The sequence below is a fragment of the Homo sapiens genome, chromosome 1 (genome assembly GCF_000001405.40).
Source record: "Homo sapiens chromosome 1, GRCh38.p14 Primary Assembly".
In the NCBI taxonomy this organism is placed as follows: domain Eukaryota; kingdom Metazoa; phylum Chordata; class Mammalia; order Primates; family Hominidae; genus Homo; species Homo sapiens.
Genome location: NC_000001.11, coordinates 114785895 through 114795711, shown reverse-complemented (window position 1 = coordinate 114795711; position 9817 = coordinate 114785895). Strand labels below are relative to the sequence as shown.

Here is a 9817-nt window from a genome sequence, read left to right as displayed (position 1 = left end):
ACAGAGTCCACTTGCAAACTCCAGCTTCTCATGGCTAGCTGACCTCACAGCTGGGACCTTAGGGAATTCCCAGCAGTTGCCAAGACTGCTTTTGTCTTGGGGATTTTCCCTTCTCTCCCCTTCATGTCTCCCCTACATGGACCTGGTATAGGTCATCTGTGGTGCTGTGTAGGCCTCTGTGACATCTGGACTGAATGCAGGTCACTCTGTGGTGCCACCTGGGTTTCACACAAGATCTCAGGACTTTTCTCCAGTCTTCCCTCTTTAGGATCAATTTGGAATGCTGGGTCTACATCAGATCTGTTTGTGTTTGTGTCTCTGTTTACTGTTACCCCTCCATCCCAGAGTACTTTAGCACAGTCTCTGTCCCACCCAATAAGACCAGTCTCATCTGCTTGTCAGAAGGCAGCAAGAGAGGCTGCTCCTGTCCTTCTTGGGGAGTAACAGTTTTCAATCTCCTGGCCCCTGATATTGTCATCCTTTTGGGGAATCCAGAGTATTTCCTGTAACTGTGTCAAGCTTTGGGGGATGTAGTGGGGAAGCATGTGAACTTTTTCCTAGACTATCTGGGACTCCAGCTGGTTATATATTATTGCCAGTTTTTGTGCACATTTTTAACTAATGGGCAAATTATACTAAGGAAAATTCACAGTTCAAATGGTTAGCCTGCAACTATAAAGTTAAGAAGTCTTCTAAAGCTATCAATTTATTTTCTTTTCTGCCTACTTTGAACCTGTTATTAAGCTACTGGTGTTGAAATAAAACTTACTGTTTCAAGGTTACTTGGAGATTTCATTTTTCTTATACACATCAGCCAGTTCTGGCTAAAATGGAAACATTAGAAACTTATTTGAAACTGACAGAAAAAAAAGAGGTAAAAGATGTTTTTAAAATCAAAACTGCCATGAAAACTGCTTTACCCAAATTCTGGTCCACAGCTTTCCTTAGATTACCTATCAGGTTTTAGCCATGTGAACAGGTTCCAATTTCATCAGAAAAATAATTTGGATTCAGCTATCTTTTGTAAAGTGGTGAGTTTGTATTGCTATCTTAAGGCTAGGGTTCTGAGGTAAAAGCTATTGGACCTTTGTGCATGTATGTATACATGTTTTGATAAGCTTATGGGTATGTACATGTATTATGTTATACGTTGTGTCTAGCATGCTACAAAACTGGCTTAAAAGTAAATGGGTACTCATAAATTAAGTCCAAATGCTTTTCAAATTTACATGAATCTCTGGTAAATAAAACTGGCTTTAAAATTATTGACAAAAATAGGCCAGGCATGGTGGCTCACATCCATAATCCCAACACTCTGAGAGGTCAAGGCAGGAAGATAGCTTGAGCCCAGGAGTTTAGACAAGGCTGAGCAATGTAGCAAGACCCAGTCTCTGCAAAAAATAGAAAAATTAGCCAGGTGTGGTGGCACATGCCTGTAGTCCCAGCTATTCGGGAGGCTGAACTGGAAGGATTACCTGAGCCTGGGGAGGTCAAGGCTGCAGTGAGTTGTGATTGCGCCACTGCACTCCATACTGAGCAACAGTGAGACTCTGTCTCAAAAAAAAAATTGGTAAAAATAGAAATGTCATCAGAATTGTCAGCATACATTTTTGTCTGAGTTTATTGAACAAATGATTTTATATTTGTCTCTGTCTCTATATTAAGATGTCAGGGTTTGTCACAAAGGTTGTGAGACTATAAACCCAGGCAAAAACAGAATAATCTTTGTGTGATTTTTTTTGTCAAATAAGACTAATTTAATATTGTTGGTTCAATGAAAATAGCTGAATCTTCTGAGTTAACAGCAAAAGGCATTTAACTTTAAGGTTCTTACTTAAGTGTTCACCTGCTATTCCGACTTTAAAAATGATTAACTGGGAAATAAATTCAAATAATAATTAGTTTTGTGTAATATCTCGGTTTTCACAAGTAATCTAGAGAAACTGTTAAAATGAAAAAATTGAGTACATGTAAGTAAGATAAATGCTTATAAGTGGACTTTATGTATAATTTTAAATTTTTTAATTATTTTGAATTAAGTAATAAATTCTCATTTAATGTCTGGGTAATTTCCAATTAAGAAAAGCTTATGATATAGAAAAACATATTTCTAAAACTGTGGAATGGTTTCATCTATAAAATGCTAACATCCATCAGACAGTTCAGAGTTTTCTGCACTAAAATTTAAGGTTTCAAAGGATAAGTATTCTAGCTGATATACGCTTCTGTAAGTTGTGTTCTTATTGAAAAAAATTGTGTCATTTGGAGGTTACTTGAAAGTTATTTATTGAAGAAGGTTAAAAAATCAGTAAGTAGGGGAGCGAGATGTGAAAAAAGTTATGGCATATTTTTGGTAAGGAATGCCATAAAGAAAAGAGAATAGTTTTTATGAAAAAGGATCTTGTACGGTAAATTTTTGTCCTAAAGCAAAATGACTGATTATTTAGGAAAGAGGACAAATTAGGAACCCCAAGCATGTCATAGTTACGTGTAAGTTATGACAAGGATAGTGAAGGAGAATTTATCAAAGGAATTTTGTGTGTGATTAAGTTAGCTATAATTTTTTTTTTTTTTTTTTGAGACAGAGTCTGGCTCTGTCACCCAGGCTGGAGTGCAGTGGCACAATCTCGGCTCACTGCAAGCTCCACCTCCCAGGTACACGCCATTCTCCTGCCTCAACCTCCCGAGTAGCTGGGACTACAGGTGCCCGCCACCACACCCAGCTAATTTTTTGTATTTTTAGTAGAGATAGGGTTTCACCATGTTAGCCAGGATGGTCTCAATCTCCTGACCTCGTGATCCACCCGTCTCAGCCTCCCAAATTGCTGGGATTACAGGTGTGAGCCACCACACCCAGCCGAGTTAGCTATAATTTAAAAGGAAGTGTTTACAATAGTCTTTCTAAAGAATGATCCCCAGAGATTGGCAAGACGGCCAAATAGGAAGAGTTACAGTCTGTAGCTCCCAGCAACACCAACACGGAAGGCGGGAGATTTCTGCATTTCCAACTGAGGTATATTGTTTGTCTCATTGGGACTCGTTAGGCAGTGGGGACAGCCCACAGAGGGCGAGCAAAAGTAGGGTGGGGCATCACCCCACCGGGGAAGCGCAAGCAGCCAGGGGTCTCTCCCTCCCCGAGCCATGGGAAGCCGTGAGGGACTGTGCTATCTGGCTCAGATACTATGCTTTTCCTACGGTTTTTGCAATCCAATCCCCAGACCAGGAGATTCCCTTGTGTGCCTACACCACCAGGGCCCTGGGTTTCAAGCACAAAACTGGGCGGCTGTTTGGGCAGACACCGAGCTAGCTGCAGGAGTTTTTTTTTTCTTACCCCAGTGGTGCCTGGAACCCCAGCGAGACAGAACTGTTCACTCACCTGGAAAGAGGGCGGAAACCAGGGAGCCAAGTGTTCTCACTCAGCGGGTCCCACTCCCACAGAGCCCAGCAAGCTAAGAACCACTGGCTTGGAATTCTCACTGCCAGTCCAGCAGTCTGATGTCAACCTGGGATGATCAAGCTTGGTGTAGGGGGGGCATCCACCATTACTGAGGCTTGAGTAGGCGGTTTTCCCCTGACAGTGCTAAGGAGGCTGGGAAGTTTAGATTGGGCCAAACGCACCACAGTGTGGCAAAGCGGCTGTGGCCAGACTGCCTCTCTAGATTCCTCCTCACTGGGCAGGGAATCTCTGAAAGAAAGGCAGCAGCCCCATCAGGGGCTTATAGATAAAACTCCCATCTCCCTGGGACAGAGCACCTGGGGGAAGGGGAGGCTGTGGGCACAGCTTCAGCAGACTTAAATATTCCTGCCTGCCAGCTCTGAAGAGTGCAGCAGATCCTGACAAGGAGCATTCTCCCAGCACAGCGCTTGAGCTCTGCTAAGGGACAGACTGCCTCCTCAAGTGGGTCCCTGACCCCCGTGCCTCCTGACTGGGAGAGACCTCCCAACAGGGGTTGACAGACACCTCATACAGGAGAGCTCCAGCTGGCATCAAGCCGGTGCCCCTCTGGGATGAAGCTGCCAGAAGAAGGAGAGGCAGCAACCTTTGCTGTTCTGCAGCCTCCGCTGGTGATACACAGGCAAACAGGGTCTGGAGTGGACCTCCAGCAAACTGCAGCAGACCTGCAGAAGAGGGGCCTATTAGTAGAAAAACTAACAAACAGAAAGCAACAACATTGCCCTCTCCCTCTCCCTCTCCCTCTCCCTGTCCCTCTCCCTCTCCCTCTCCCTCTCCCCATGGTCTCCCTCTCCCTCTCTTTCCACGGTCTCCCTCTCATGCCGAGCCGAAGCTGGACTATACTGCTGCCATCTCGGCTCACTGCAACCTCCCTGCCTGATTCTCCTGCCTCAGCCTGCGGAGTGCCTGCAATTGCAGGCGCGTGCCGCCACGCCTGACTGGTTTTCGTATTTTTTTGGTGGAGACGGGGTTTCGCTGTGTTGGCCGGGCTGGTCTCCAGCTCCTAACCGCGAGTGATCCGCCAGCCTCGGCCTCCTGAGGTGCCGGGATTGCAGACAGAGTCTGGTTCACTCAGTGCTCAATGGCGCCCAGGCTGGAGTGCAGTGGCGTGATCTCGGCTCGCTACAACCTCCACCTCCCAGCCGCCTGCCTTGGCCTCCCAAAGTGCCGAGATTGCAGCCTCTGCCCGGCCGCCACCCCGTCTGGGAAGTGAGGAGCGTCTCTGCCTGGCCGCCCATCGTCTGGGATGTGAAGAGCCCCTCTGCCTGGCTGCCCAGTCTGGAAAGTGAGGAGCATCTCTGCCTGGCCGCCATCCCATCTGGGAAGTGAGGAGCGCCTCTTCCCGGCCGCCATCACATCTAGGAAGTGAGGAGCGTCTCTGCCCGGCCGCCCATCGTCTGGGATGTGGGGAGGCCTCTGACTGGCTGCCACCCCGTCTGGGAGATGAGGAGCGTCTCTGCCCGGCCGCCACGTCTGAGAAGTGAGGAGACCCTCCGCCTGGCAGCCGCCCCGTCTGAGAAGTGAGGAGCCTCTCCGCCTGGCAGCCACCCCGTCTGGGAAGTGAGGAACGTCTCCGCCCGGCAGCCACCCCGTCCAGGAGGGAGGTGGGGGGGGTCAGCCCCCCACCAGGCCAGCCGCCCAGTCCGGGAGGGAGGTGGGGGGGTCAGCCCCCCGCCCGGCCAGCCGCCCCGTCCAGGAGGTGAGGGGCGCCTCTGCCCGGCTGCCCCTACTGGGAAGTGAGGAGCCCCTCTGCCCGGCCACCACCCCGTCTGGGAGGTGTGCCCAACAGCTCATTGAGAACGGGCCAGGATGACAATGGCGGCTTTGTGGAATAGAAAGGGGGGAAAGGTGGGGAAAAGATTGAGAAATCGGATGGTTGCTGTGTCTGTGTAGAAAGAGGTAGACATGGGAGACTTTTCATTTTGTTCTGTACTAAGAAAAATTCTTCTGCCTTGGGATCCTGTTGATCTGTGACCTTACCCCCAACCCTGTGCTCTCTGAAACATGTGCTGTGTCCACTCAGAGTTAAATGGATTAAGGGCGGTGCAAGATGTGCTTTGTTAAACAGATGCTTGAAGGCAGCATGCTCATTAAGAGTCATCACCACTCCCTAATCTCAAGTACCCAGGGACACAAACTCTGCGGAAGGCTGCAGGGTCCTCTGCCTAGGAAAACCAGTGACCTTTGTTCACTTGTTTATCTGCTGACCTTCCCTCCACTATTGTCCTATGACCCTGCCAAATCCCCCTCTGTGAGAAACACCCAAGAATGATCAATAAAAAAAAAAAAAAACAAAAAAAAAAACAAAAAACAAAAAAGACCATGTCATCTGTGAATAAAAAAAAAAAAAAAAAAAAAGCAACAACATCAACATCAACAAAAGGACCTCCACACAAATACCCCATCCAAAGGTCATCAGCCTCAAAGATCAAAGGTAGATAAATCCATGGAGATGAGGAAAAAACAGCGCAAAAATGCTTAAAATTCCAAAAAACAGAATGCCTCTTCTCCTCCAAATGATTGCAACTCCTCTCCAGCAAGCATGCAAAACTGGATGGAGAATGAGTTTGATGAATTGACAGAAGTAGGCTTTAGAAGGTGAGTAATAACTCCTCTGAGCTAAAGGAGCAAGTTCTAACCCAATGCAAGGAAACTCAGAACCTAGATAAAAGGTTATAGAAACTGCTAACTAGAATGACTAGTTTAGAGAAGAACATAAATGACCTGATGGAGCTGAAAAACACAGCACAAGAACTTTGTGAAGCATACACAAGTATCAATAGCCGAATCAATCAAGCAGAAGAAAGGATATCAGAGATTAAAGATCAACTACTGAAATAAGGCTTGAAGACAAGATTAGAAAAAAAAAGAAAGAAAGAAAGAAAAGGAACAAACAGCTGGGCGTGGTGGTTCACGCCTGTAATCCCAGTACTTTGGGAGGCCAAGGCAGGCGGATCACCTGAGGTCGGGAGTTTGAAACCAGCCTGACCAACATGGAGAAACCCCATCTCTACTGAAAATACAAAAATTATCTGGGTGTGGTGGCACATGCCTGTAATCCCAGCTACTCAGGAGGCTGAGGCAGGAGAATTGCTTAAACCCAGGAGGCAGAGGTTATGGTGAGCCAAGATCATGCCATTGCACTCCAGCTTGGGCAACAAGAGCGAAACTCCATCTCAAAAAAAAAAGAAAGAAAGAAAGAAAGAAAGAAAGAAAGAAAGAAAGAAAGAAAGAAAGAAAGAAAAGGAGCAAAGCCTCCAGGAAATATGGGACTAGGTGAAAAGACCAAACCTACGATTGATTGGGGTACCTGAAAGTGACGGGGAGAATAAAGCCAAGTTGGAAAACACACTTCAGGATATTATCCAGGAGAACTTCCCCAACCTAGCAAGACAGGCCAATATGCTGATTCAGGAAATACAGAGAACATCACTAAGATACTCCTTGAGAAGAGCAACTCCAAGACACATAATCGTCAGATTCTCCAAGGTTGAAATGAAGGAAAAAATGCTAAGAGCAGCCAGAAAGAAAGGTCAGGTTACCTACAAGGGGAAGCCAATCAGACTAATAGCAGATCTCTCGGCAGAAACCCTACAAGCCAGAAGAGAGTGGAGGCCAGTATTCAACATTCTTAAAGAAAAGAATTTTCAACCCAGAATTTCATATGCAGCCAAACTAAGCTTCATAAGCGAACGACAAATAAAATCCTTTACAGACAAGCAAATGCTGAGATTTTGTCACCATCAGGCCTGCTTACAAGAGCTCCTGAAGGAAGCACTAAATATGGAAAGGAAAAACTGGTACCAGCCACTGCAAAAACACACCAAAATATAAAGACCAACAACACCATCAAGAAACTACATCAACTAATGTGCAAAATAACCAGCCAGCATCATGATTATAGGATCAAATTCACACATAAAAATAATAACCTTTAATGTAAATGGGCTAAATGACCCAATTAAAAGACACAGACTGGAAAATTGGAATAAGAGTCAAGACCTATCTGTGCTGTATTCAGAAGACCCATCCCAAGTGCAAAGACACACATAGGCTCAAAATAAAGGGATGGAGGAATATTTACCAAGCAAATGGAAAGCAAAAAAAAGCAGGGGTTGCAATCCTAGTTTCTGATAAAGCAGACTTTAAACCAACAAAGATCAAAAAGACAAAGAAGGGCATTACATAATGGCAAAGGGATCAACACAACAACAAGAGCTAACTATCCTAAATATATATGCACCCAATACAAGAACACCCAGATTCATAAAAACTAGTTCCTAAAGACCTACAAAGAGACTTAGACTCCCACACAATAATAGTGGGAGACTTTAACACCCCACTGTCAATATTAGATAGATCAATGACACAGAAAATTAACAAAGATATTCAGGACTTGAACTCAGCTCTAGACCAAGCAGACCTAATAAATATCTACAGAACTCTCCACCCACCCCAAAGCAACAGAATATACATTCTTCGCAGCACCACATAGCGCTTATTCTAAAATCGACCACATAATTGGGAGTAAAACACTCCTCAGCAAATGCAAAAGAATGGAAATCATGACAACAGACTCTCAGACCACAGTGCAATCAAACTAGAACTCAGGATTAAGAAACTCACTCAAAACTGCACAACTACATGGAAACTGAACAATCTGTTCCTGAATGACTAATAGGTAAATAACGAAATTAAGGCAGAAATAAGTTATTTGAAACCAAGGAGAATAAAGAGACAACATGCCAGAATCTCTGGGACAGAGCTAAAGCAGTGTTTAGAGGGAAATTTATATCACTAATTGCCCACATCAGAAAGCAGAAAAGATCTAAAATCAACACCCTAACATCACAATTAAAAGAACTAGAGAAGCAAAAGCAAAGAAACTCAAAAACTAGCAGAAGACAAGAAATAGATCAGAGCAAAAAAGGAGATTGAGACAAAAAAAAAACCCCCGTCAAAAAATCAATGAATCCAGGAGCTGGTTTTTTGAAAAAATTAACAAAATAGACAGACGGCTAGCAAGACTAATAAAGGAGAAAAGAGAGAAGAATCAATCAGATGTAATAAAAAATGATAAAGGGGATATCACCACTGATCCCACAAAAATACAAACTACCATCAGAGAATACTATAAACACCTCTTTGCACATAAACTAGAAAATCTAGAAGAAATGGATAAATTCCTGGACACATACAACCTCCCAAGACTAAACCAGGAAGAAGTTGAATCCCTGAATAGACCAATAACAAGTTCTGAAATTGAGGCAGTAATTAATAGCCTACCAACCAAAAAAAGTCCAGGACCAGGTGGATTCACAGCCGAATTCTACCAGAGGTACAAAAAGGAGCTGATACCATTCCTTCTGAAACTATTCCAAACAATAGAAAAAGAGGGACTCATCCCTAACTCATTTTATAAGGCCAGCATCATCCTGATACCAAAACATGGCAGAGACACAACACAAAAAAAGAAAATTTCAGGCCAATATCCCTGATGAACATCAATGTGATAATTCTCAATAAAATATTGGCAAACCAAATCCAGCAGCACATCAAAAAGCTTATCCACCACAACCAAGTCAGCTTCATCCCAGGAATGCAAGGCTGGTTCAACATACACAAATCAATAAACATAATCCATCACATAAACAGAACCATGTAAAAATGACATGATTATCTCAATAGATGCAGAAAAGGCCTTTGATGAAATTCAACATCCCTTCATGCTAAAAACTCTCAATAAGCTAGGTATTGATGGAATGTATCTCAAAATAATAAGAGCTATTTATGACAAACCCATACTCAATATCGTACTGAATGGGCAAAGCTGGAAGCATTCCCCTTGAAAACCGGCACAAGACAAGGATGCCCTCTCTCACTACTCTATTCAACATAGTATTGGAAGTTCAGGCAAGGGCAATCAGGCAAAAGAAAGAATACAGGGTATTCAAATAGGAAGAGAGGAAGTCAAATTTTCTGTGTCTGCAAAAGACATGATTGTATATCTACAAAACCCTATCATCTCAGCTCAAAAACTCTTCAAGCTTATAAGCAACTTCAGCAAAGTCTCAGGATACAAAATCAATATGCAAAAATCACAAGCATTTCTATATACCAATAATAGACAAGCAGAGAGCCAAATCATGAGTGAACTCCCATTAACAATAGCTACAAAAAGAATAAAATACCTAGGAATACAACTTACAAGGGACCTGAAGGACCTCTTCAAGGAGAACTACAAACCACTGCTCAAGGAAATAAGGGAGGACACAAACAAATAGGAAAAAAAAATTCCATGCTCATGGATAGGAAGAATTGGTATCATGAAAATGGCCATACTATCCAAAGTAATTTATAGAT

The 9817-nt window shown here is 43.9% G+C and overlaps 3 annotated features.

The window, feature by feature from the left end:
• Positions 271-488: a silencer, noted in NCBI's record as "fragment chr1:115337845-115338062 (GRCh37/hg19 assembly coordinates)". NCBI's record gives its function as "represses an EF-1alpha promoter that drives an FKBP-Casp9 reporter gene in an ReSE screen in K562 erythroleukemia cells {active_cell/tissue: K562}" and the evidence as "EXISTENCE:reporter gene assay evidence [ECO:0000049][PMID:32094911]".
• Positions 3943-4850: an enhancer, noted in NCBI's record as "H3K27ac-H3K4me1 hESC enhancer chr1:115333483-115334390 (GRCh37/hg19 assembly coordinates)". NCBI's record gives its function as "activates a minimal SCP1, AML or CMV promoter by ChIP-STARR-seq in primed H9 embryonic stem cells {active_cell/tissue: H9 hESC(primed)}" and the evidence as "EXISTENCE:reporter gene assay evidence [ECO:0000049][PMID:30033119]".
• Positions 4851-5760: an enhancer, noted in NCBI's record as "NANOG-H3K27ac-H3K4me1 hESC enhancer chr1:115332573-115333482 (GRCh37/hg19 assembly coordinates)". NCBI's record gives its function as "activates a minimal SCP1, AML or CMV promoter by ChIP-STARR-seq in primed H9 embryonic stem cells {active_cell/tissue: H9 hESC(primed)}" and the evidence as "EXISTENCE:reporter gene assay evidence [ECO:0000049][PMID:30033119]".